Source organism: Homo sapiens, chromosome 16 (assembly GCF_000001405.40).
Source record: "Homo sapiens chromosome 16, GRCh38.p14 Primary Assembly".
Classification (NCBI taxonomy): Eukaryota; Metazoa; Chordata; class Mammalia; order Primates; family Hominidae; genus Homo; species Homo sapiens.
This window is the reverse complement of record NC_000016.10, coordinates 11,245,593-11,271,488: the sequence shown is the minus strand read 5'-3', so window position 1 is coordinate 11,271,488 and position 25,896 is coordinate 11,245,593. Positions and strand designations below refer to the sequence as shown.

The following is a 25,896-nucleotide window of genomic DNA, read 5'->3' as shown; positions in this document are numbered from 1 at the left end:
AGGGACTCTGGGCTGGTTACTCCACCTCTCTGAGCCTGTTCCCTCTTTGCTAAATGTAATCATAGTATCTGCCTCATGGGGTGCATAAGTTTCTTGGGGCTGCCATACCAAATGACCACAAACTTGGTGGCTAAAACAACAGAAATGTATTCTCTGCAGTTCTGGAGGCCAGAAGTCTGAAGTCGAGGTGCCAGCTGGGCTGATCTCCCTCCGGAGGCCTTAGCAGAGAATCCTTCCTTGCCTCCTCTAGCTCATACAACTCCAAGCTCGTCTCCATCTTCCCATGGTTTCCTCTTCTCCCTGGGTGACACCTCTTCTGTCTCTCATAAAGACATTTATCATTGGATTTAGGGCCCACCAGCTAAGCCAACATGCTTATCTCAAGATTCTTAGCTTAATTACATCTGCAAAGACCCCTTTTCCAAATATCACATTGACAAGTTCTAGGAGTTATAACGTGGACATAGATTTTTGGGGGTTGCCATTCATTCCACTACAAAGGGTCACTGTGAGGTTTGAGGGCAAAGCTGCCTGGAGAGGGTAAGGTCCAGAGCCCAGCCACATAGAAAGCATTCAGTAAATGAAAGCAGTTCTCACTGTAAGAAATTTGAAATGTTTATTAAGAAATAAACTGCAAAGGCTGGGCATATTGGCTCATGCCTGTAGTGCCAGCACTTTGGGAGGCCAAAGCAGGAGAAAACCTTGAGCTCATGAGTTCAAGACCCACCTAAGCAACAAAGTGAGACCCCATCTCTACAAAAATAAAAATAAAAAAATTAGACAGGTGTGGTGGCATGCACCTGTAGTCACAGCTACTTGGGAGGCTGAGGTGGGAGGATCGTTTGAGTCCAGGAGGTGGAGGCTGCAGTGAGCTGTAATTGTGCCACTGCACTCTAGCCTAGGCAACACAGCAAAACCCTTTCTCAAAAGAAAAAGAAAAAGAAAAAAACTTCCATAAAAGCAGACGATTGCAAATCCTCATAGCAAGAGGCAAAGTTGCACATGGGCAGAGTGAGAGGTTGGCTTGGGCCGGAGGCCTGCTCGGGGAGGACAGACAGAGACAGAGGAAGTTCCATGCAGAGAGAAGTGGGAAAGTACAGGGCCAAGGGCTAAGCCCAAAGGCATCGGCCAAGACAGGGAGGGGTGGAGGGCTCTGGATGGAAACCCAAAGACTAGAAGATCAAATGGCTTAGTGTTCAAACATAAGTCTGGGCTTTCTTCTAGAGGTACTGGGGTATCTGAGCAGGGACGGCGTGATTCAAACGGTATGGCGAGGCTTCGTTAGCAGGAAGGGGAGGAGAATCAAGAGGCAGAAACTGAAGGAGAGAGACGGGTTTCCAAGGGCCTCCTGTAGCTTGACAGGCATCTCAGGCTCACGAGAATACCAGGAAAGAAGGAAAGACACCCCTTTGTCACATACGGCAATTAAGCCTCAGAAACCACAATGGCCTACCCAAGACTGGACATCAGTGCAAACTGGGATTTGAACCCGGCTCTGAATTTCCCGACTTTAGATCTGGCTGGGGAGGTAGGCTTGCCAAGCGAGCCCCAGGACCACCCCTTGGTCCATGTGGTTACTCATCTTTCATCCATCCACCAAGCCATCTGACCAATTCATCACCTCCCCATCATCTGGGCACTAATCATCTGTCTTAACAACTGCCCACCATTCAGCTGCCATCACCAGGGTCAGGGCTGCACTCCTGGTACCCAAGTTGCCCAGGGCGTTAAGAAAAACACCTGATGATGCTGGTCAGTGATGTTTACTGAGCTCTTATTGTGGGCTGGGCCTGAGCTAACTGCTTGATATAAATTCTCTCCTTTATTAATAATTCTTCTAATGTCCGAATGAGGTCAGTACAATTATTATCCCTATTCTGCAGAGATGGGGAAACTGGGACTTGTTCAGGCGAATTCCCAGGGCTGACCATGTGGAAAAAGCAGATCTGGGATGCAGACTCAGCTTAATCTGACCCAAGGGCTCCTACCCTGAACCAGTAGCTGGGACTATCCCCAGGGTACCCCTGAGAGCTGCCCCAGCCTGGGGGTGAGGGTAAGGGGTAGGGGGCTTTGTCTTGGCTGAGCCACATCTCTCACACCCCTGTGGCCTGGGCCATCATAATCAGCCCCAACTATATAACCAGGTGGGCTGCCAGGGCCTCTGTAAAGCTAGGCCTGCTGGGAGAGGATGAGGAGGAGGCCCTGCCCCTCCAAACGTGGCCTCCTATGGACACCCAGACTCACAGCCTTCCTATCACCCACACTCAGCTCCATAGCAACTCTCAGCCCCAAAGCCGCACCTGCACCCGCCATTGCCAAACCTTCAGCCAGAGTTGCAGACAGAGCCATCGTGGCAGCCGGAGCCAGAGCTCCAGCCAGAGCCCGGCCAGCCACCGCAACCCAACTGGAGCCCACAGCTCATCCGGCCACCAGAGCCAGAGTCCCAACACTAGTCCACCACCAAAGCGCCACAAAAAGACTATGAACTCCCACCACTCTCCCATGCGGCCCACCATCCTGCACTGCCGCTGCCCCAAGAACAGAAAGAACTTGGAAGGCAAGCTGAAAAAGAAAAAAATGGCCAAGAGGATCCAGCAGGTGTACAAAACCAAGACGCGGAGCTCAGGTACCCTTTAAGGAGGTGGGGAAGGGCCACCGAGCCCACAGATGATGGAGAGCAGACCTTGGGGGCAGTGAGAGGAAGGCTGCAGCCAGGTCACAAAGGAACCACAGGCAAGAAGGAAGAGGGAGAAGAGAAACAATGGCAGTTGGCTAGCTGAATGTATGATACATTGACGGAAAGTCTCTTTGAAATTGGATGGGTTGATTAGGAGGATGGAAAGATGGACAGATAGCAGATAAGCTAGATGAAAGCATGAATGGAGTTGAGAGGTTGGGTGGATGACTGGGTGGGTAAACAATAAATAGGTTATAGAAAGGATAGTTGGAAGAATGCATTGGCTGAATGATAGGAAGTTTGGATACGATTAGCTGGATGGATGGATAAATGGATGAATGCACTGGCTGGCTAGTTATTTGGTTGGTTAGGTAGATGATCAGTTTGAAGATTGTGGTTGGTGGATGAATTGGTTAGAAATAGAGTTAAATAGTTGTAGAAGTTTTGATGGGTTGGTTTGATTGGTTAAATATTATCTTAATAGAGTAATATAGAGTAATTGAATAAACAGAGAGAAGAATAGATATCTAGACTAATGGGATAGAATGGGAAAGAAATGTTGAATAAATGAATGGAATGAGTGAACTAATGAATGGGTGGATGACAAATGGAAGGGATAAATGGATGGATACCTGGATTCACATAGGTCAAAAGGACACTGACGGTAGTCTAAACTCTATCTATGTCCCATATTCAATCACAAATGAGTAGTTGTAAGACCTTACAGGAGGTCAAGGAGGTCACTGACTTCATGAAGTGCTCAGCTATTAAAGGTTCCTTTCCCACTCTTATCCCTTAGGATGGAAATCCAACTAATGAGACCGCACTCCTTGGCTTGTTCCTGCGTGTTTCACCCAAAGGAGAAAATGCTAGGATGAAGTCAATCTTCTTGCAGGAACATGTTACTATGGTGATTTCTACGCAACACTAATTAAAGCTTGTACCTGGAAGACTATCCCTGAGTAGTCATAGTCATTTTGATTTCACTAATAAAGGTGTTATGTGTTTTGGGGGCCTGCACAGGGGCAGAAATGAATGGGGGTAGGATGCCAAGAAGCCTGCAGAGTCCACTCTGCTTGGATAACAATCTTTTGCCCTGTATGCTCCCACATGGGTGTGTACACATGTGGACACACAAGATGCACACATGTCCACAACCTATTCACGTGATCCACATGTATGTAGCCCAAGAACACGACAGGAGACAGGAAGAGGGGTTCAGAATGTGCCTTTTGCAATCCAGAGCATCCTGAGTTTGAATCCTGGCTCATCTTTCGTACTCGCTGTGTGACCCTGGACTGTGACCAACCTCTGAGTCTCACTTGTTGATTCTGTAACATAGTACCAACCTCAACGTTCCTCAAAGCAGCCATTTCAACAAACTTTTACTAAGGGACCAAAGTCTGTTCAGGGACTGTGCTGGGCTCTGGGAACAGAACTAGAGAACACACAAGGCCCTGCCCTCATGGAACTTACAGTCCAAACACACAAGACTTGTCAGAATGAGCTGTATCAAGGGAGCAGGGTGATGTCATGTCCCCGTGAGGGAATGAGCCTGGGTTAGAACCTGTGTTCCAGAGGAGCTGGCATAGAATCTGAAGGTGCTGGGACATGAGCTGGGGGCACCAGGTGGGGGCCAGACCATGCCGGGGTTGTACCAATCTCCGCAGGAAGGAGCTTGGACATTATTCTTGGTGTGAGAAGTCAGGGGAGGGTCTCAACTGGGTGAGTTGATAGAGTCTGGTGTGTGCTTTTTTCTCTGAGACCATCTCACTCTGTCACCCAGGCTGGCGTTTAGTGATGCAATCATGGCTCACTGTAGCCTTGATCTCCCAGGCTCAAGCCATCCTCCCGCCTCAGGTTCCCGAGTAGCATGACATGCATCACCATGCTTAGCTATTTTTGACTTCTCGCTCTGTCGCCCAGGCTGGAGGGCAGTGGCGCCATCTCAGCTCACTGCAACCTCTGCCTCCTGGGTTCAACCAATTCTCCTGCCTCAGCCTCCCAAGTAGCCGGGATTACAGGTGCCCGCCACACCTGGCTAATTTTTGTAATTTTTTTCCCCCACTGTGCAGGCAAGTTTTGTCACTGCTTTTTATTTTTATTTCATTTTACTTTAAGTTCTGGGATACATGTGCTGAACATGCAGGTTTGTTACACAGGTATATATGTGCCATGGTGGTTTGCTGCACCTAACAACCCGTCATCTAGGTTTTACGCCCTGAATGCATTAGGTATTTGTCCTAATGCTCTCCCTCCCCTTTCCCACCACACCCCAATTTTTGTATTTTTTTAGTAGAGACGAGGTTTCACCATGTTGGTCAGGCTGGTCTCAAACTCCTGACCTCAAGTGATCCACCCGCCTTGGCCTCCCAAAGTGCTGGAATTACAGGCGTGAGCCACTGTGCCCGGCTTATTTTTTTACTTTTTGTAGAGATGGGGTCTCACTATGTTGCCCAGGCTGGTCTTAAAAACTCCTGAGCGCAAGCAATCCTCCCACCTCGGCCTCCCAGAGTGTTAGGATTACAGGCGTGAGCCACTGCACCAAGCCTGGTGTGTGTTTTCTTTTTTCTTTTTTTTTTTCTGAGATGGAGTCTTGCTCTGTCGCCCAGGCTGGAGTGCAGTGGCGCCATCTCGTCTCACTGCAAGCTCCGCCTCCCAGCTTCACACCATTCTCCTGCCTCAGCCTCCCGAGTAGCTGGGACTACAGGTGCACACCGCCACGCCCAGCTAACTTTTTTGTATTTTTAGTAGAGACAGGGTTTCACCGTGTTAGCCAGGATGGTCTCGATCTCCTGACCTTGTGATCCGCCTGCCTTGGCCTCCCAAAGTGCTGGGATTACAGGCGTGAGCTACTGCGCCCGGCCACCTGGTGTGTGTTTTCAAAGTGGTGCTGGCTGCTGTGTGGAGACTGGACTGCAGGGGATGGGACAGGGTACAGCAATTGGCAGAATGGCAGCCCGGTCTAGCGGGGTGATTTTCCACAACGGGTGGGCTGGAGGTTCCTCCCAAGATAATGCCCAGAGTCCTGCCTTCCTCATTCCTCTTTCGCAAACATTTACTGAGCACCCACTTGTGTGGGCTTTGGGCTAAGGCCAAGGAGGGAAGATAAGGGTGAACCAGACAGAACCCTGCTTCCAAGTAGGAAACCTGCTCTCATTTGCAAAATGGGCACCCTTGCTGGGAGGTTGGGAGAGGTCAGTGTGTCATGCATGTGACATGGTGTCTGGGCTCAGTGCTTGGCACTCAGTAAACCTCTGCTGTTAACATGGCATAAAAAGTACCAGGCAGATTTTCGTGAAGGAATGCCGGCTGCCAGACAAAAGGACTGGGGAATGGTCAGGGTCTTGGGTAAATTGGCTTCTGACCTTCATACCCACAAGCCTTGGTTTTAGGGTCAGACTCAAGTTTGCCCTAGTTCTCACTATCCTAGCTGCGGCGGCTGGGACTAGACCACTCTGAGCCTCACTCTCCCCCTCTGTCTAATGGGCTCATCGTTCTGACATACTGGGGGGCGGGGTACCCAGCAGCCTGGTGTGTGATAAGCTGCCCAGCATAGCGCCAGACACAGGGTCACTTTGTTTTCTTTTGTGCTGCATTTGACATTTGGGCTGAAGGAACAGGGTGAACAGGTGAAGGGAGGTGGGGCAGGAGTAGAAATGAGTGGTGATGGGCTGTCTGCAGGGAAGGGAAATGGACCCAGGTGTCTTGGGGAAGGCCTTGCAGGACTCCAAGCTTTGCTGAGCCCATCCCAGGCAGTGGCATGACATGGAAGGTCCTCTTTCAGATCTCAGCTGTGTGGCCTTGAGCAAGTCATGTCCCCTGTCTGCATCCTGGTCTTTTCTGTAAAATGGGAGGCTAATGGTGCCTGCCTGGAGGGGTCCCAGTGGAGGTTCATTGAGATAATGCACCTGCAAGCATCCAAGAGAGGGCCTGGTCCACCCGATCAATGCCACTCAATGTCACCATCAGTCTCCTTTCCTTGGGTCCCTTTATCCTCCTCTCACAGCAGGGAAATGTTCCAGGTTGTTTCTATTAGGAGAGGGTATGGGGAAGCACCCAAGCATACTCGGGAATTCCATTTATCGAGCACCTACTAGATGCCAGATGTTTTGACATAAATATTTCCACGGAATCCACGCTCCTCAACAAGAGACATTATTGGTCCCACTGTACAGATGAAGAAGCTGAGACTCAGAGGTGAAACAACTTGGTCAAGGACTCCTGGCAGGCAGGTCTGAGATAAGAGATTCATGTTTTGCCCAAAACTTACTGGTTCCCAAATGTAAGGCCACATTAAGCCATGATAGTCACTGACACATCGGTGCAAAAGAGTTAGGGAGGCCCTTCTGGGGAACATATTTTGAAAGAGGAAGTGGAGACAGGGTTAGACATAAAGTCAGGGACTTTGAGCCCCACTCACCAAAGGACCTCCCTACTTCCTGGGCAGTGTCCTTTTATGATATGATTACTGAAGGTAAATCTTTTATTATAAGCCAATGGACTGGGTCACACGTGTGGCTTATGGACCTACCTTTAACTCCACATTTCCCTGAAAGCAACACCAACACAACCAACACAAAAGTGGCACAAACACGGATAGTCATATATACAATCATAGCTCACCACAGCCTCGAACTCCTGGCCACACGTATGAAGAAGCAGCTGTTCAAACCCACTCAGACACAGAGACCCACATTCACATGTGGACCCCAAGTACACATACACACCCCTACATGTGCATGAAGGCTCTCAGTCACCTCCCCTGACCCTTCCCACAGGAAACACACATGTAGGCAAGCACTCACAATACACGCCACCCTTGTACAGTCAGACGTACAATGATGACAGGAAAAAATAATCCAACCACAGATTCATGCTTTCACTTACTCGGCTTGGGGTGGGTGGCAGCAGGTTGGGGACAGGCCTGCTGGAGACCCAAATTCAGGAAATGGAGAGAGACAGACAATAAATCCAGCCAGCAAGAGAGTACGTGGGTTCTGAAGATGAGCTGTCTTGATACTCAGAGATTTAATTTCAGTGGGCTACTAGGGGGTGAGGTGAGGTCTGGGGAACAATGAGGTGCAGCCTGTCCTGTGGTGGGGTTAGCTGCAGGGCTGTCACTCCTGTGGGCCTGAGGGATCACCAAGGGGAAATGCAGTGGTCCTGGGTTGGGGCAGGAGTCGGGAATGGAGTGGGTCAGATGAGAGGGCAGACCCTGGTGGAGATGCCCATGTGAGCTATGATTCGAAAGGAAAAACATCTCAAACCCTGCAGCCACACAGACCCAGCTTCAAATCCCAGCTCTCCCATTCCCTCGCTGGGTGACCCCAGGACTATTCCTTAATCTCTCTGAGTCTCAGGTGCGTCTCACACTTTGTAAAGAGAACCGAGGAGGCCATGCTGTTCACTGCTGCATCTCCGGGACTTAGCACAGTGCCTGGCACATATTAGGAGTGCAGTAAGTATTTGTTGAATAAATGAAAGAAGAAGCAGGCATTAAAGCAACAATGAGAAGCCACCACTTACCAAATCATCAAATAGGCAAAAATGGAAAAAGTAAGATAATGGTGAAGGCATGGGGAAACATTGTTGAATGCTTTTGCCCAGAAGGTAAATGTGCACAGCACGCTGGCAGGTGACTGGGTGGCACCTATGAACATTCAAACGGTAAGAACGGTTTATCACATGTGTGCCAAGAGGCTGTACAGGGAGGTGCAGGCCACGCTGTTTGCAAGAGCAAAAATACAACCTATGTGTCCACCCACCGGGGACGGCTAAATGAACATACGCTGAGGAGTATCATGCAGTTCTTAAGGAGCATGGGGTCGATCTATATGTGATCTAGCCAGATTGCCAGAGTATCTGTTGGGTGGAAAGTGCAAGATGGAGAAAGACATGACATTGATAGAGGGAAAAGTCCTACACAAAGGAATACTATTTTTTTTTTTTAAATAATTGGGGTCTTGCTCTGTCACCTCGGCTGGAGTGCAGTGGCACAATCATAGCTCACCACAGCCTCGAACTGACCACAAGTGATCCTCCCAGCTCGACCTCCCAAAGCGCTAGGATTACAGGCATGAGCCACCACACCTGGCCAAGGAACATAATTTTTATGGGTCAAAATACAAGCATGTAGATGCATAGAAAAAGATCCCAGGGTGGGAGCAGTGGCTTATGCCTATAATCTCAGCGCTTTGCGAGGCCCACGCGGGAGGATCACTTGAAGCCAGGAGTTTGAGACCAGCCTAGGAAACAAAGTGAGACTCTGTCTCCCTAAAAATGAAAAAATTAGCTGGGCATGGCAATGCGTGCCACCTACATGGGAAGCTGAGTCAGGAGGATTGCTTGAGCACAGTGGGGGTGGGGTGGGGGTGTCAAGGCTGCAGTGAGCTGTGTTCACGCCACTGCACCCCAGCCTGAGTGACAGAGGGAGACCCAGTATCAAAAAATAAAAATAAAAATAAAAAAGATCCCAAAGAACAGACCAAGCTGGTGCCTGGGTTACCTAGAGGGAGGAAAATTGAAGGAAAAAGAGGATAAAAAAGGAATGAGCATCAGTGAATGTGTCTAATGGGTGCTCAGCGAAGCTCTGTTGAATCTGGAGAGGCAGTAAAGGCATGTGGATATAACATCAGCCCCTGCTCTGGGCTTGCTGGTTTGGGCAAGGTGACCCAGAACGCTCTCCCACAGAGGGACTCATTACTCCAGGGCAGGCAGAGGTCCAGTCCAGCCCTCTCCCTTCCTCCAGACGAGTCTCCTCCTAGAAGCCACTAGGGCTGCCTTGGGGTGTCCGGCTTACCTTTGGCCTCATGCTCTGCCCAGGGCCTCACATTCTTGTCATGCTCTGCCCGGAATATGTTCTCCCTCCGTTCCCTTGGTGAGAGCTCTTTTTTTTTTTTTTTTTTTTTTTTTTTTTTTTGAGACAGGGTCTCCCTAAGTCACCCGGGCTGGAGTGCAGTGGTGTGATCTCAGCTCACTGCCATCTCTGTCTTCCGAGCTCAAGTGATCCTCCCACCTGAGGCTCCCAAGTAGCAGGGACCACAGGTATGTGTCACCATGCCCAACTAATTTTTTCATATTTTTGTAGAGATGGGGTTTTGTCATGCTGCCCAGGCTGGTCTTGAACTCCTGAACTCAAGTGATGCTCACTCTTTTTTTTTTTGAGATGGAGTCTTGCTCTGTCGCCCAGGCTGCAGTGCAGTGGCGCCATCTCTGCTCACTGCAAGCTCCGCCTCCTGGGTTCACGCCATTCTCCGGCCTCAGCCTCCCAAGTAGCTGGGACTACAGGCGCCCACCACCACGCCCGGCTAATTTTTTGTATTTTTAGTAGAGACGGCGTTTCACCGTGTTAGCCAGGATGGTCTCCATCTCCTGACCTCGTGATCTGCCTGCCTCCGCCTCCCAAAGTGCTGGGATTACAGGCGTGAGCCACTGCGCCCGGCCGTGATGCTCACTCTTTACAACTCGGTTGAGGGTTACCCCTCCCTGAGCCTGTTCAGGGCACTGCCAATTGGGCCAGTAGACGCTGGGCTTCCCACATCGTGGCATGGGAGGAGACTGCTGCTGCTCTGTGTGCCCTGAGACCAGACGCCTCCTCAGAGAGAACTGGGCCCTATTCTACCTCTCATTGCGATACCCGACATTCTCAACAGCATCACCACAGTGAGGGCCCATGGACATGAGGAATCTTCCTGCTCCACACTCTAACGTCCCCAGCCTGCTGCGTGCTAGCTCTTGTGCCTAGTTTCATAGTTTCTGCAAGTTCTTTGCCCCCTATGTCACCGCTACTGGTCCTTGCTGTCAGCTGCTGACACCTAATTTGTCACTTATGGGATGGGGTGGGGTGGGTAGAAACCTGTTAGGCTTGTTGGAATACTGTGCAAAAATGGAGTGAATAGGCCACGACAAAGATCCCAAGGGATTTACTGAGGAACAGGCACTGTGCTTCCCAGGCTCGGGCTTTGTGAGAGTTCTCTGGACCACTGGATTCAGTCAACTTGCCTGAAGCCACACAGCTGATGGGGAGGGGAGCTGGGACTGGAAGCAGGTGTGTCTGGACCCCTCCACCAGCATTCCTAGAATTCTACTTTCCTGCCCCTCCTATTTTGCAGCTGTTAACGAAACAATCTTGACTGCTTTCTGAAAGCCAGTGACTACTGACTACTTCAAGTAACAGCTGACTTCACCTCTCCTTTCTTCACCTGTGCCTGCTAGAAGAGTCTCATCAAGTCTCCAGGACTGGCGCCACTTTGGAGTCAGCCACTGGCTCATGCCATCGTTCCCTGGCCTCTCACACCTTCTCCTTGGACTCAGGTCCTCTGAGCTCACACCCCTCTACCCGCCACTGAGACACACAATCGTTCCTGTGGTGGGAGCAGAAAGGATCTACTCCAAACATCAAAGCAACCTCTCCCGACAGAGGACTTCAGGCCAGGTTCTGCCAAGCCCCAGGGCTCCCCAAAACACCTTCACCAAGTTCCACCAGTTCCCTGAGTTGTGCTCTCCTCATCTGATCAAGGGAAACACATAATTTCCAATTCACAGGACCATGGGAAAGTGTCCCAAGGCCACTACTACAGCTCATCGTGGCTAAAGCCCAGCAGCTGGGAAGGTCAGCAGCTAGAAGGTTCTTTCCACACTCAGTCCTATGCTGTCGCTTGGGCCTGGATGGCTGGTCCATGCACTCAGGGCAAAATCCAAAGCCCTGCCACAGCCCAGCAAGGCCGTGCCTGATGGATCAGACCCTGCCAACCCCTATGCCTCACCCCTACACCACCCCCTGGCTCGCTATACCAACTCTCCTTTCCTATCTTCAAGCACCCCCACCACAGGGCCTTTGCACTGGCTGTTCTCGCCACCTGGGGTCTTCATCCCACTTTTAGAAAGACGTCAGTGCTAATGTCACCACCTCCAAGAGGCTTTCCCTAACTTCCTTATCTCACCTTACAAACACCCAGTCACCCCTTTCTCTCTGTTTCTTTCCCACATAGCACCCAGTATGGTCTGCACTGATGGTGTGAATTCACTGACTCCCCTAGGTCTGCCTGAAGACCTCTGAGTCCCCTGCGCCTGGCACACAGTAAGAACTCAGTAAATATCTGCTGAATAAATACTGAAGAAGTGAAATAGATATGTTATTATCCCATCTTGCAAATATGGAAACTGAGGCACAGAAAAGCTAAGAAGCTGGCCCCAGGCCACATACTTATGAAATGACCCATTTAAATTCAGACCAGCGGTCAGCAGAATCCACACTGTGAGCCCCACTGCTCGGGGTTCCCAGGGGCACAGACTCCCATGGGAACCTTCCCGACACATGGGTTAGAGGAAAAGCAGGGCTGAGGAATTCCGGGGCAGAGGCTAGTTTCACGATTACACACCCTGGCCAGGAGCTACTTTTCCCAGCAAGGCGCCACCAAAGCCGGAAAGAGAAACTGAAAAGCTAAGTGCCATAAGCCACCAGGATCTTGACTTCCCCCAGATGCTGGCTGGGCCCCTCACATTTGGGGTACGAGGATCTGCCAAGATAGGGAGGAGAATGTTTCCACACATCTGGCTGTGGCTGTGGTTTAGTAAGCTGTGGATATAGGGCTGGTCCATCCGCCCTGTGACAAGAGGTCATTGTGCCAAGCACCGACTCCATGCCTGGCATTTTGCCCTTGGCTCTGCATGTCTGGCTGCTCTGTGAGGTACGAGATGTCCAGAGATCACTTTGCAGTTGGGGCAAATCAGGTCCCAAGAGGACAGGTCACTTGCCCAAGGTCATGCAGCAGGTCTGGGGTCAGAGCCTGGTCCCATCCTACCGAGCACTCTGAGCCCCTCAGGGTTTCGCACTGCCTGGCTTCCTGTGAGCCTGGTGCCCAGCCCTCCAGCAGAACAGCCCACAAGGTGGATGCTTGTCAACCAGCAGATTTCCTTTTCTCTTTCGGCATCTGGATTTGGTTTCATTTTGAACACAGGACTTCAGAAAATGAAACCAAAGCTGTCTGTCACTGGTGGCAGTGAGGAGAACCCACGTGTGCTGAGTGTACCTTTAGAAGCTTTCCTGCTCCCTTGCTGTGCCTTCCCTGGCCTGTGGTCCCTGGACTAGGGCTTCAAACATAGATATAAGGCAGTGCTTTGGGAAGCCAGGGCAGGAGGGTCACTAAAGGACAGGAGTTCGAGACCAGCCTGGGCAACGTAGTGAGACCCCATCCCTACAAAAAATTTAAAAAATTAGCCGGGTGTGGTGGCATGTGCCTGTAGTCTCAGCTACTCAGGAGGCTGAGATGGGAGAATCTCTTGAGCCCAGGAGGTCGAGGCTATAGTGCCTCCTCGATCCTATCACTACACTCCAGCCTGAGCAACAGAGCTACACTCCATCTCTTTAAAAAAATGGACACAGGGGTTGAAGCCATGCGTCTGTGGGCTCCAACACACTGCCACACCCACAGGCACCCTCAGATGAACAACAAACATCTACCGACTGCTTATTAGACACTACGGGCTGTTTTAAGCACCTGACCCATAATCACTCATTTAATTCCCATACAACCCCGGGATGGAGGTACTATTTATTTATTTTTTTTTGAGACAGGGTCTTAGTCTGTTGCCCCGGCTGGAGTGCAGTGACACAATCGTGGCTCACTGCAGCCTTGACCTCCTGGGCTCAGGCAATCCTCCTGCTTCAGCCTCCCAAGTAGCTGGGACTGCAGGTGCAATCCACTACGACTGGCTGATTTTTGTACTATTTTTTTTTTTTTTTTTTTTTTTTTGTAGAGAGGGGGTCTCACTTTGTTGCCCAGGCTGTTCTCAAACTCCTGGGCTCAAGCAATCCTCCTGTCTTGGCCTTCCAAGTGCTGGGATTATAGGCATGAGCTACTGCGCCCTGCTAGAGGTACTATTATTATCCCCATTTCACAGATAAAGAAACCATGGCAGAGAGGTTAATTACATGCTCAAGGTCACAAGAATAGAAAGGTGCAGATTTGGAACTGGGTCTCCTTGTATTCCATCACCCTCCACAGAGTGTGGCCTCCAGCAGATGTTCAGTGGACATCTCTCGAATGATCACACACCTGACCTCTGGTGCAGGCAAGGTTCTGCATCTTCTCTCACCCCCTCACGCACGCGCACGCACACACACGCACAACCTAGGAGGCTACACCAATGACCACCACCAGCCCTGGCCACATGCAGATTCAGGGCACTGATGGGGTGCTAAGCTGGGCTGATTCTGGGCCACTCCCTGTGTTCAGGAGGTTAATAAGGACCTAGGCTCTGCCTGGGGAAAGAGGTATCGTGGGGCCAGGGAGGCGGGAAGGGACTGGGCACCAGGGCTTCCAGGAGAGAAGCCGTCTGAGAGCTGTCTGTAGAGGGCAGTGTGTCCCAGTGTGAGGCCAGTAACCAAGTGCCCAGCCTAGCCAGGTTTTTATGTGGCCCCTTGTGATGCTGGGGCTCCTCACATGCCTTCATTCAAAAATACACGGAGCAGCCAGGCACCTACTCCATGGCCTCGCACGACAATCGGAATCACTAAATCACAAACACGTGTGCAAATTACAGCCCCGACCACCGACCGCCCACCATCCCAAGCCCCGGCCGTGTGTGTGGTGGGAAGGCAGTCTTTGAAGGGCAGATGCCTGACGGAGCAGTAGGAGGGGGAAATCTATGAGGAAGGGGTCGGGGGAGAGGAGGGCTAGGAAACCAGGTTTGGGGATTCATCACGTCTGAGAATGCACCATTTTTTCACTGGGCTCCAATTTGATGTCGTCCAGCTGCACCTCTCCCCAAAATGAAGACGGGGAAGGCGAGATCCAGGTCCAGAGCTCCCAATCTGCAAGCCATTGCAAATCCCAGCCCCTCCCCAGCCTCAGTTTCTTCCGCAGCCGGGTAGTGGGAGCGCAGGGAGGGCAGTCGAGGCCACCAGGGACCTTGCCCGGCCCCGCCCAGTTTCCGAGGAACTGGGCCGGGGTGGAGGCGCCCGCGCCGCCAGGGGTTCCTCTGAAGCCTGTGGTCAGGCCGCCGCTTCCCGGGAAGCCCGAGCCAAGACCAGAGACCGCGGCCGGCCGGGGCTTCGGGACAGCAGGGCGGGCGACTGAGGGCGTCGACGGCGGGTGGAGCAGGGGCTAGGAGGGGGTCTACGGGTGGGGTCAGGCTCAGGGTTGGGGACACCTTCTGTGGCCTCCTAGGGGGATCTGGCTGCAGGGGAGGAGAGGACAGGGCTCTGCCCCCGGCGGGTGTGGAGACAGCTGGGGCGGAGGAGGGTGTGTCAGGGCGCGTCCCAAGAGGGCCTGGCGGCAGAAAGTGGAACCCGAGGTAGCGGGGCAAAATCGGGGTCGCCAAGTCCGAAGGAGGGGTCCGAGAAGTGGCCGGAAGGCGCAGGGTCGGGGCCAGAGCCCCTCGAGAGGCGGGTGCTGGGGCAGGTGCGAACAGGCGGGCAGAGGGCCCCGCGGGAGGGTCCAGAAGAGAGGGAAACAGGGCCGAAGCGGTCCTCGCCGGACGCCACCGCGGAAAGAGAAACCAAAAGTGGAGCTGGGGGCGGGGCCGGCAGGGGGCGGGGCCTCCCGCCGTCGCCAGCCCCGCCTCCGAGCCGGTTTAAAAGACTGGCGCAGGGGCGGGCGCCGAACAGAGCGAGCTGCGGCCGTGGCAGCTGCACGGCTCCTGGCCCCGGAGCATGCGCGAGAGCCGCCCCGGAGCGCCCCGGAGCCCCCCGCCGTCCCGCCCGCGGCGTCCCGCGCCCCGCCGCCAGGTGAGCCGGGCCCTGGGCGAGGAGGCGGGAGGGAGGAGGGAGGGGAGTCCAGGGCAGCCAGGAGTCGGGCGAGCCTCGGGGGCTGCAGAATGGGGTCGCGGCCGCGATGCCCCTGACCCTCGCCGGCCCCACCCAGGCCGCCCCCCGCGCGCGGGGCTCCCGCAGCACAGCCTTTCTCCGGCCCTAGCCCAAATCGCCCAGACCAGGCGCGGATCCCAGCCTGGCCAGCAGGCGGCGGGCGCGGGGCGGCGAGCCGGGGCCGGACGGCTGGAGCCAGAACCGGCTGCTCTCCACGCCCCCCTCTCGGTGCTGCCCGGAGGCCGGACTCCGCCTCCACCGAGCCCCCACCCGCCGGGAAGAGCTCCGCGGAGTACAGAGCCCATTTTCTAGCTGTGTCCACTGAGGCTGAACGGATCCGCGCGGACTTGGTGCTCCGTGCTCGCCCCCTAGGGCCGGGTCCGCCGGGAGCGCCGCCCTCCGGAGTTGTCCGGCCGGCGCACACCTGCCCGGCCCCGCAGCGCCCCAGCTCACCTCTTTGTCTCTCCCGCAGCGCACCCCCGGACGCTATGGCCCACCCCTCCGGCTGGCCCCTTCTGTAGGATGGTAGCACACAACCAGGTGGCAGCCGACAATGCAGTCTCCACAGCAGCAGAGCCCCGACGGCGGCCAGAACCTTCCTCCTCTTCCTCCTCCTCGCCCGCGGCCCCCGCGCGCCCGCGGCCGTGCCCCGCGGTCCCGGCCCCGGCCCCCGGCGACACGCACTTCCGCACATTCCGTTCGCACGCCGATTACCGGCGCATCACGCGCGCCAGCGCGCTCCTGGACGCCTGCGGATTCTACTGGGGGCCCCTGAGCGTGCACGGGGCGCACGAGCGGCTGCGCGCCGAGCCCGTGGGCACCTTCCTGGTGCGCGACAGCCGCCAGCGGAACTGCTTTTTCGCCCTTAGCGTGAAGATGGCCTCGGGACCCACGAGCATCCGCGTGCACTTTCAGGCCGGCCGCTTTCACCTGGATGGCAGCCGCGAGAGCTTCGACTGCCTCTTCGAGCTGCTGGAGCACTACGTGGCGGCGCCGCGCCGCATGCTGGGGGCCCCGCTGCGCCAGCGCCGCGTGCGGCCGCTGCAGGAGCTGTGCCGCCAGCGCATCGTGGCCACCGTGGGCCGCGAGAACCTGGCTCGCATCCCCCTCAACCCCGTCCTCCGCGACTACCTGAGCTCCTTCCCCTTCCAGATTTGACCGGCAGCGCCCGCCGTGCACGCAGCATTAACTGGGATGCCGTGTTATTTTGTTATTACTTGCCTGGAACCATGTGGGTACCCTCCCCGGCCTGGGTTGGAGGGAGCGGATGGGTGTAGGGGCGAGGCGCCTCCCGCCCTCGGCTGGAGACGAGGCCGCAGACCCCTTCTCACCTCTTGAGGGGGTCCTCCCCCTCCTGGTGCTCCCTCTGGGTCCCCCTGGTTGTTGTAGCAGCTTAACTGTATCTGGAGCCAGGACCTGAACTCGCACCTCCTACCTCTTCATGTTTACATATACCCAGTATCTTTGCACAAACCAGGGGTTGGGGGAGGGTCTCTGGCTTTATTTTTCTGCTGTGCAGAATCCTATTTTATATTTTTTAAAGTCAGTTTAGGTAATAAACTTTATTATGAAAGTTTTTTTTTTAAAAAAAAATAAGTTTTCTAGCGAGTGTGCTTTGGCCAAAAGTTTAACTTGGTTCTGAACAGGTCCAGGGGAGAGGGTCCTAAGGCTGACCTGCTGGGCTGCAGGTGGTGTACGGGGCCTGCCCTGTGGCTGGGCATCCCTCACGGTTCCACCCACAACTCTCCAGGGAGAGAAACGGTTGGTCTAGTTTTGGCGTGTGTCCGGTAAGACAGCAGCTCGCGTTTGAGCACTTTGTGCGTGCCAGCCCTAATTCTGTGCTTTGCATACTTAAATTTACTTAATCCTATAAAGAGAGGCACAACCCTGTGAGGCACGGGCTCTTATTTCCATTCTACAGAAGGGAAAACTGAGTAAATCTGCCTGTGGCCATTCCTGTCAAAGACAACACTTGGGCCTTTTTTTGGCTGTCCACTAAACATCTGCTTGAAATGGATAACAGAGAGGAAACTTCTTTGGTTCTATGACCACAACAGCTTCCAGGAAGGGGTGGGGGTGGGGGCTTAGTGAGTTTTTGGACAGAGGAGTGGCACATTCTGAACCAGCATCAAGGGATACTCAGTTGAGATGAGATGGGGGATACAGGGCTGGGTCTAGCTTCCTTCTTCTCACCCTGCTCTGTCTTGTGTACTTTTTGGTGAACACACAACTTGGAGCCAGAAGGAGACTGTGTGGTCTGTGGTGGCGGGAGGGTGCTGCTGGCGGCTAGGGCAATTCCCCTTGCCTCCCTGGGCCTCCACCTTTCTAAGGGCAACTTTCTGCGCATCATAGAGGAGGTGGATGTTTTCAGGAGCCAGGGAAGGGAAGAGTGGCTCCAGGACGTTTGTGGGGCTGGCCCACAGCACCAGAAAGTGTCCAGGACCTGGGTTTCTGGCAACTTCTGTGTCTTTGGCCAGCCTGACACATGGGCCATGGTGGTAACTTGAGGGTTGTACTCAACACATGGTGAACTGAGTCATTTTCAGATTTAGGGTTAAGCAGCCTGGTGGACACGTCATACTTCATCTTTAGAAGATAGAGTGGCCCTCTTCAGCCTTGGAGACACATATAATAGTGTTCTAATGCTTAATAATACTTTTCAGACTTGAAAGTACAACATAAAATTAACTTGATGGTCAGAGAGTCAGAGCAGCCCAGGCCTGTCTTGGGGATTAAGTAGGCTCCAGGACTTTAAGGATGGCCAGAAGAGATTTAGGATCTCAGAGAGCTTTGGCAATTTCATCCCTTAATAAGGTGAAGTGGGAGGGAAGGAGGTGATGTCTTGTCTCTATCTCCAAAAATCTTGCTTTTTCTTTTCTTTTCTTTTCTTTTCTTTTCTTTTTTTTTTTTTGCCACACCCCTGCCCTTTCTTCTCTGCTGTGGATTAATTAAGTCCTGTCCTTGTTCTTTCCTGTCTGTTGCCTGCTGTGGGCAGTGTCTGGAGAAACAGAAATCCAAGATGGCAATGCTTGGGGATCTGGTTGTAATACTAGTATACTCACAGACCCTTAGTGACCACTCAGTGGCTGTGCTGGCCCCATTTTACAGATGGGAAAACGGGCTCCAAGAGGCAAAGCAGGACCACAACAAGGGGTGGAGCCAGGTTTTGCAAACCCACTCAGGACTTTTTCAGAGGCTGGGTACCACTAGGCAACCGGAGGACCTAACCGCTGCAGTAATAATAGCAGCTGCTCATATTTCTATGTAGCATTGTCTGTGCAGGAACTGCTCCCAGGTCCCGCATCACCTGTGTAAAACATTGAACTCACACCCAGCCTTCCGATGTAGGGACTGTGAACATCCCCGTTTTACAGATGGGAAAACAGGTCCTCCTCAAAAGAGGGGTCAGCTAGCAGGTAGCTTGCAATATGTTACAGTTTTTTTTCCTCCTTTGAAAAAAGTATGAAAATCGTATTTTCCTTACGCAAGTGTTGGGTATCCAAACCCATTCCCCTTGCAGAACTTGAAGCAGAACAGCTAAGAGTAAAGGCCCCCTCTGATCACACTTCCCAGAGCTGGCCCCTTCCTCCCTTTATGAGTCACTTAAATCCATACTAACATAGGTACAGTGACCTAAAGCCCTGGGAGCTGCACCCCACGTCCCGTGTGACAAAGTGTGTGCAGGCATCACTGAAGGGGGAAAAGGCTGTGTGTGTGTGTGTGTGTGTGTGTGTGTTTGTGTGTGTGCGCGCGCACCAGCGCCATGTGGCTTCCCGGGTGGTGCAGATTCTGTCTCTCTCTCAAACCTCAGCTTCATGATTCAGCAGCGCTGACGTCAATTTACAAGAATGAAAAGTGAGAGGAGGGTTTGTGTGTGCAAGAGACTGAGTTGGGGGCCCAGGTGCAGTGGAGGTGTCCTCCCCACTGAGCGGGTGAGCCAGGGCAGTGTGGGGCGGGCACCATGGGAAAGGAGGCACTCTTTGGAATGACAAGGACTGTGTGTGGGTGTGGGGACAGCCTGTGACCAGCCTCCAAGCCACCCTTGAGCTGAAAACTCTGGCCCCCGTTTTCCAGATGAGGAAATGGAGGCTCAGACAAGTGCAGCCACCTACTCAAGGTCACACAGCTCGTAAGTGATGGCCAGGACTTGGACCAAATCCATCCCACTCTAAACAACAAGACAGGTTTCTTCTTCTTTTTTTTTTTAAGACAGAGTCTTGCTCTGTCACCTAGGCTGGAATGCAGTGGCGAGATCACAGGTCACTGCAGAATCAAACTCCTGGGTTCAAGCAATCCTCCCGCCTCAGCGCAGGGACTGAGTAGCTGGGACTACAGGTGTGAGCCACCACACCCATCTAATTTTCTTGTTTTTGGTAGAGAGGGGGCCTCGCTATGTTGCCCAGGCTGGTCTCAAACTCCTGGGTTCAAGCGATCCTCCCACCTCAGCCTCCCAGAGTGTTGGGATTACAGGCAGGAATCACTGTGCCCAGCGCAGGATGGGTTGCTTAAATAGTGGGAGAGGGGATGGGATAAGGGAGGAATCTGGTGAAAATGCATATTCCTAGGCCTCAGCCTACTTGATCCTCCCAACCTTATGAGTAGGTACTGTCATTATCCCAGGAAGCGGCGAACTGAGCCTCTTCTATGACATAATAGGTAGAAAGTGCTTAGCGCACAACTTAGCATGCAGTAGGCGCTAAATACATCTCTGAATGATGCGGTGCCAATAATGATAGTTGAGGTTAATATAGCAAACACTGACTGAGCACCTCCTACGTTACAGGCATTATCCTTTTCCTCCTCTTTTTCTTTTTCTTTCTTTCTTTTTTTTTTTTTTTTTTAAGAGATAGGGTCTCACTCTGTTACCCAGGCTGGAGTGGAGTGGTGTGATCACAGCTCCTGTAGCCTTGACCTGCTGGACTCAAGCGATCCTCCCACCTGAGCCTCCTGAGTAGCTGGGACTACAGGCATGCACCACCATGTCTGGCTAATTTATTTTTGCCAAGATGGGGTCTCCCTATGTTGTCTAGGCCAGTCTCCAACTCCTGGGCTCAAGTGATCCTCTCACCTCAGCCTCCCAAGATGCTGGGACTATAGGTGTGAGCCACTGCGCCCAGCCAGGCATTAATCTAAGCCGAAAGGATACAGGAATGAACAAAATAGAGGGGTCTGAACCCTGCTTACAGAGTTTACATTCAGGGCCTTGGACAGTAAATAACCAAACATGAAATAAAGGAAAAGGAACATTCCAAGTACATAGTGACAGTGGTCAGATGAAAACTCGACAGGGTGGTTGGACAGTGGATGGGGCTCTTTTAGAAAGGTCAGGAGGTGACACTGAAATTATTGTGCCTGGAATGACAGAAAGGCACCAGCCCGGCAAAGCCAGGAGATGAGATGAGCAGTCCAGGCAGAGGGAAGAGCGAGTGCAAAGGCGCTCAGTCAGGAAGGAGTTCGGCCCGTTCAAGAAGGCTGGCAGAGTGGGAGGGGTGAAGAAGCGGGAGGGATGGGCAGGGGCCCGGGCACGTGGGGTCCTGTAGACCTTGGTGGAAAGTGTGGATTTCAAGATTGATGGGGAACGTGGAGGTAACCTGATCTGGCCTGGCTGCTGGATGGAGATGATCTAAGCAGAGGGCCTGGTGAAATGGGCTTCGGCTTCCTGCCTCATGGTGTATATTTACAAGGGAGCGGTTCATTCTCGGCCAGGCCCTTTGGCTCCAGCCAATCAGACCAACGGCAAGGGAAGGCCACAGGACCTGCCTGGTGGATGCTGGGCCATGGTGGGTGTGGCCAGTTCCACCTGGATGCCAGCTTTGTACCTCTCACCTGGCCTCCCACTGCCATCACTCGGAGCCTCCCCAGGGCTAGGAGCTTACCAGGAATAACATGGTGGGCTTGGCCTGATTTGCGGGTAGGGGGTATCTAATTTCCTCTAGAGAAGGAGGCACAGTTTTCACCAAAGCACATTCGCACAGGGACAACGGTGCTCAGGTGGGCGCTCAAATTGTCCCAACCGTGGTCCTGGCTCTGGGACCCGACAGACGGCCCTCGGGGGGAACAGGTTCTACAATGACTGTATGGCCCCAGTACAACCTCCCCCATCTCCTTCCCCCGACACCCAGGGCGAGTCCAGCATCCCACGCCGCAGCCCTGCACGGCTCCCCGCAGCGCACAGAAGGCCCAAGTCCCACGACGGCCCAGGGATCTGGGCAAGGCACTCACCGCGCTCCCTCCTGTTTCAGGGCCTTTGCTCGTGCCGCTCCCTCGTCCCGTGCATCAGGAGTGCTGTCTACCAGCCGGGGTCGGGGTCGAGGCAGACAAATGAAGTCGGGTCGGCTTTTGTCCAGCTGACGCCCCACGGCGCCTGCACTCTCGAGAGGCCACCACGCGCCGCGCCAGTGACGTCATTGCGCCGCTCTCCCCACCAACCGCTGCCCCAGGCCCACTCGGCGTGGCTCGGCCACGCTCGGCTTGACTTGGCTCGGCTCGGCCACACTCGGCTTCCCTCGGCTTCCTCTCGGCCTCTCGGCAGCACTGCGGGCTCCGCAGCCCTTCTGGCCTTCACGTGGTTCCCAGTTCTCGTGGTACGTCCTGCCTGCCGGGATCTCAGGGCTCTTGGAAGACCCCAGGCCCGGGGAGGGCATGTCCCAAGGGCATGCCAGGTCAAGGCCACAATAGCGAGCCCTCTCCCACGCCCTGTAGTCGTCGGAGACCAACGTGTTCTCCCACCCCATTCCGGTCCACAGCAATCCCTGCCTACCCAACCTCACATAGACCTTAGGTCTTGAACCTCTTTTCCTACCTGGAAATGAGGTTAAGAACTACCCACCTCATGGGTGAAGTTCAATCAGAGGATGCCTGAAAAGTGCTTAATACGTGATGTGTGCCCAGTCATTGGAATCAGCCCTCTCTGCTTGATTCTTTCATTGCTGCTGTTTGTTTGTTTGTTGTTGTTGTTTGAAACACCGTCTCATTGACTAGGCGCGGTGGCTCACGCCTGTAATCCCAGCACTTTGGGAGGCCGAGGTGGGCAGATCACTTGAGACCAGGAGTTCGTCACCAGCCTGGCCAACATGGTGAAACCCCGTCTCTACTAAAAATACAAAAATTAGCCGGGCGTGGTGGCATGGACCTGTAGTCCCAGCGACTAGGGATGCTGAGGCAGGAGACTCGCTTAAACCTGGGAGACGGAGGTTGCAGTGAGCCGAGATCGCACTGCTGCACTCCAGCCTGGGTGACAGAGCAAGACTCCGCCTCAAAACAAAAAAACAAGCGAAAAACAGTCTCACTGTCGCCCAGGCTGAATGCAAGGACACAATCACAGCTCACTGCAGCCTCAAAATCCTGGGCTCAGGCAATCCTCCTACCTCAGCGTCCCAAGTAGCTGGGACTACAGGCGTGCAACACCACACCTGGCTATTTTTTATTTTTTTACTGCAGACGGTGGTCCTGCTATGTTGCCCAGGCTGGTCTCGAAATCCCAGCCTCAGTGATTCTCCCACCTTGTCCTTCCAAAGTGCTGAGGTTACAGGCATGAGCCACCGCACCCAGACAGAACTATAATAATAATTATTATTTTGCGTCATAGCAGCTGTGCAGAGGATTTGAATCAGCACAGCCATGAAGTCAGACCCACCTGGTCCCATTCTCAGGTTGCTTCTTGCTAATAACAGCGGTGACTGCCAGCTCACCCATGTCGCTAGACGCTAGGCATGATTCTAAGTAATTCATGCGTAGTATCCCAATTAATCCTCACAAGAACTGTATGAATCAGGTATGACTATTACTACCTTCATTTTGCAGATGAGGAAACTGGGGCACAGGGTTAAATAACGGGCTTGGGTCACACTGCAGGTAGGTAGCAGAGCCTTGGTGGGGGGCATGGATTCGAATCTCGGGCAGCCTAATTTTATAGCCATGCCTTCATTTTCATCTCTAAGCTGAGGCTGTCACACCAGTCACTGGAGCTTCACTTGTATTTTTTTTTTTTTTTTTTGCCAGATCTGTCCAAGTCCCCAGCTGTTCTGTTATTTAATTAATATTTCCTGCAAATTAAGTTACATGATTTCCTTAAGTTAATTTTATTTCAAGGGAAATGTTTTATTACCATAGATGGAAGGTAGAATCACCCGCAACAAAGAGGTAACCCTTAAGCAATGAAATGAAATCCAAAAATTGTAAGTTCTAGCTAGATACTGCTGTGTGCTGAGCAAAAGGTCTGCTCCATGTTTGGTTTAGAGACAGAAAAAGAAAGAAGGAGGCCGGGCACAGTGGCTTGCGCCTGTAATCCCAGCACTTTGCGAGGCTGAGGTGGGCGGATCACCTGAGGTCAGGAGTTTGAGACGAGCCTGGCCAACATGGTGAAACTCTGTCTCTACTAAAAATACAAAAATTAGCTGGGCATGGTGGCGCACACCTGTAATCCCAGTTACTTGGGAGGCTGAGGCCGGAGAATAATCACTTGAACCTTGGAGGTGGAGGTTGCAGTGAGCCGAGATCATTGCCACTGCACTCCAGCATGGGAGACAGAGCGAGACTCTGTCTCAAAAAAAAAAAAAAAAAGAAAAAGAAAGAAAGAAAGAAAGAAAAAGAAAAGAAAAAAAGAAGAAGGAGAGGCCGGGCGCGGTGGTTCACTCCTGTAATCCCAGCACTTTGGGAGGCTGAGGTGGGTGGATCACGTGAGGTCAGGAGTTCAAGACCACCCTGGCCAACATGGTGAAACCCCATTTCTACAAAAATACAAAAATTAGCCCGGCATGATGGCAGGTACCTGTAATCCCAGGTATTCGGGAGGTTGTGGCGGGAGAATTGCTTGAACCTGGGAGGGAGAGGTTGCAGTGAGCCACGATCGTGCCATTGCACTCCAGCCTGGGTGACAGAGTGAGACTCTGTCGGGAAAAAAAAAAAAAAAAAAAAAAGGAGAAGGAGAAGGGGGAGTATTAGCAAGCATTGGAGAGGTGTTTATGACACAATAGCACCAATATGAGACTTTCTTTTTGACTTAAGCAGAAAGACTACAAGAGGATGAAAATATGAAATCATGGTTTCACAGAGGAGGAGGGGCCTCGATGTTTTATAAAAATGTCCATGTTTCACCTAAAACCCCCACCCAGAGACCCTCCAGGGCACTCATCCCATGCCTGGAGAAACACTGCCAGCTGTGTGTTATTGACAAGTAGCCCCTTCACTGATGCTGAGCCTCAGTTTCCTCACTTGTGAAATGGCATAGGCACCCAGAGCTCACAGCGTGTGAAGGATTAAAAGAAAGTGATAATAGGCCCGGCGAGGTGGCTTATGCCTGTAATCCCAGCACTTTGGGAGGCCAAGGCAGGAGGATTGCTTGAGCTCAGGAGTTTGAGACCAGCTTGGGCAACATGGTTGAAAACCCATCTCTACCCACCACCCCCCCAAAAAAAAATTAGCTGGGTGTGGTGGCATTCACCTGTAGTCCTAGCTATTCCAGAGGCTGAGGCACAAGAATCGCTTGAAGGTGAAAGGTGGAGGTTGTGGTGAGCCAAGGTCATGCCACTGCACTCCAGCCTGAGTGACAGAGTGAGACCCTGTCTCAAAAAAAAATAAAAAATAAAAAAGTGATAATAAACTGTGGAGCCCAGCATACATGCTCAACTAAAGGGATGATATTCCCAGGGCAGGCTGGATCCTAAGTCAGGGGACCCTGCCTCTGACCCCAGCTTGTACTGTTGAAAATGAAACCCCCAGCATGCCCAGCCCTGGGCATATTTCTGCCATTTGTCTCACCTTTGCCAAGTCCTCTTGTAGCCAGCCTTCTGACAGGAAAGGCCACAGTTGCCAGAAGTTGGGTCAAAGTGAAACTATCTCAGGTCTAGCCTGGGCAGGGGTGTGGGGGCAGGGGAGGAAGGCACACTCAAGCCTTAAAGCAGGCTCCCCTTCACTGGATTCACAATGGGGAAACTGAGGACCAGAGATGTGGGCCCCAGCTCCCTTTGCAGGCATTAGGAGGGAATTGGGTATGATTACCCAAATTGCAAATTTGATCACCTTACACCCCCAGTTATACACTTAGCTCCCACTGGAAATAAAAATTACTATCAGCTCACCCTTATCTAGCACATTCCAGTTAGGTATTATTATTGTCTAATTTTACAGACAGGGAAACTGAGGCCAGGAGAGGTTATGTTTCTTGTCCATGATTTCAAGGTAGTCAAAGTAGTAGAAGCAGTATTTGAACCAAACAAGGTGACTCCACAGTGTTCCAGCAGCTCTCAACTGCTAGATATTCAAATATGACCCCTTTCCCGTGAAACTTGAGGCCCCCCCGCCATCTGGCTTCAATGTACATTTCCAACCACACCTCATTCCTGTCACATTCCTCGTCTGCTCCCATTTACCCCAATTTCTCATGGTTCCCTAGGCCTTCCTAGCTCCC

The 25,896-nt window shown here is 52.7% G+C and overlaps 2 protein-coding genes and 1 long non-coding RNA gene across 3 annotated transcripts in view, besides 10 other annotated features; 2 read left to right on the top strand and 1 right to left on the bottom strand.

The window, feature by feature from the left end:
* The window catches only part of LOC105371082 (uncharacterized), a 146,190-nt gene extending 124,302 nt beyond the window's left edge, over positions 1 to 21,888 (bottom strand). Inside the window, exon 1 of the long non-coding RNA XR_933070.4 lies at positions 21,711 to 21,888. This is a non-coding gene — a long non-coding RNA (uncharacterized LOC105371082). The remainder of the gene's footprint in view (positions 1 to 21,710) is intronic.
* Positions 2,164 to 3,632, top strand: TNP2 (transition protein 2). Its single transcript, NM_005425.5, has 2 exons — positions 2,164 to 2,626; positions 3,477 to 3,632. Exons 1-2 carry the CDS (start codon positions 2,227 to 2,229, stop codon positions 3,491 to 3,493), a joined length of 417 nt encoding a protein of 138 aa, NP_005416.1. The 5' UTR covers positions 2,164 to 2,226; the 3' UTR covers positions 3,494 to 3,632.
* Positions 4,963 to 5,463: an enhancer, noted in NCBI's record as "H3K4me1 hESC enhancer chr16:11359883-11360383 (GRCh37/hg19 assembly coordinates)". NCBI's record gives its function as "activates a minimal SCP1, AML or CMV promoter by ChIP-STARR-seq in primed H9 embryonic stem cells {active_cell/tissue: H9 hESC(primed)}" and the evidence as "EXISTENCE:reporter gene assay evidence [ECO:0000049][PMID:30033119]".
* Positions 12,509 to 12,738: an enhancer, noted in NCBI's record as "active region_10428". NCBI's record gives its function as "activates an Ori minimal core promoter by ATAC-STARR-seq in GM12878 lymphoblastoid cells {active_cell/tissue: GM12878}" and the evidence as "EXISTENCE:reporter gene assay evidence [ECO:0000049][PMID:35858748]".
* Positions 14,640 to 14,839: a silencer, noted in NCBI's record as "silent region_7201". NCBI's record gives its function as "represses an Ori minimal core promoter by ATAC-STARR-seq in GM12878 lymphoblastoid cells {active_cell/tissue: GM12878}" and the evidence as "EXISTENCE:reporter gene assay evidence [ECO:0000049][PMID:35858748]".
* Positions 15,090 to 15,829: a silencer, noted in NCBI's record as "silent region_7200". NCBI's record gives its function as "represses an Ori minimal core promoter by ATAC-STARR-seq in GM12878 lymphoblastoid cells {active_cell/tissue: GM12878}" and the evidence as "EXISTENCE:reporter gene assay evidence [ECO:0000049][PMID:35858748]".
* SOCS1 (suppressor of cytokine signaling 1) lies at positions 15,285 to 17,072 on the top strand. The gene is made up of 2 exons (NM_003745.2): positions 15,285 to 15,410; positions 15,961 to 17,072. Exon 2 carries the CDS (start codon positions 16,011 to 16,013, stop codon positions 16,644 to 16,646), a length of 636 nt encoding a protein of 211 aa, NP_003736.1. The 5' UTR covers positions 15,285 to 15,410; positions 15,961 to 16,010; the 3' UTR covers positions 16,647 to 17,072.
* Positions 15,930 to 15,979: a silencer, noted in NCBI's record as "silent region_7199". NCBI's record gives its function as "represses an Ori minimal core promoter by ATAC-STARR-seq in GM12878 lymphoblastoid cells {active_cell/tissue: GM12878}" and the evidence as "EXISTENCE:reporter gene assay evidence [ECO:0000049][PMID:35858748]".
* Positions 15,990 to 16,139: a silencer, noted in NCBI's record as "silent region_7198". NCBI's record gives its function as "represses an Ori minimal core promoter by ATAC-STARR-seq in GM12878 lymphoblastoid cells {active_cell/tissue: GM12878}" and the evidence as "EXISTENCE:reporter gene assay evidence [ECO:0000049][PMID:35858748]".
* Positions 16,550 to 16,639: a silencer, noted in NCBI's record as "silent region_7197". NCBI's record gives its function as "represses an Ori minimal core promoter by ATAC-STARR-seq in GM12878 lymphoblastoid cells {active_cell/tissue: GM12878}" and the evidence as "EXISTENCE:reporter gene assay evidence [ECO:0000049][PMID:35858748]".
* Positions 17,250 to 17,419: an enhancer, noted in NCBI's record as "active region_10427". NCBI's record gives its function as "activates an Ori minimal core promoter by ATAC-STARR-seq in GM12878 lymphoblastoid cells {active_cell/tissue: GM12878}" and the evidence as "EXISTENCE:reporter gene assay evidence [ECO:0000049][PMID:35858748]".
* Positions 19,806 to 19,885: an enhancer, noted in NCBI's record as "active region_10426". NCBI's record gives its function as "activates an Ori minimal core promoter by ATAC-STARR-seq in GM12878 lymphoblastoid cells {active_cell/tissue: GM12878}" and the evidence as "EXISTENCE:reporter gene assay evidence [ECO:0000049][PMID:35858748]".
* Positions 21,100 to 21,307: a silencer, noted in NCBI's record as "fragment chr16:11344039-11344246 (GRCh37/hg19 assembly coordinates)". NCBI's record gives its function as "represses an EF-1alpha promoter that drives an FKBP-Casp9 reporter gene in an ReSE screen in HepG2 liver carcinoma cells {active_cell/tissue: HepG2}" and the evidence as "EXISTENCE:reporter gene assay evidence [ECO:0000049][PMID:32094911]".
* Positions 21,889 to 25,896: the final 4,008 nt, after the last annotated feature.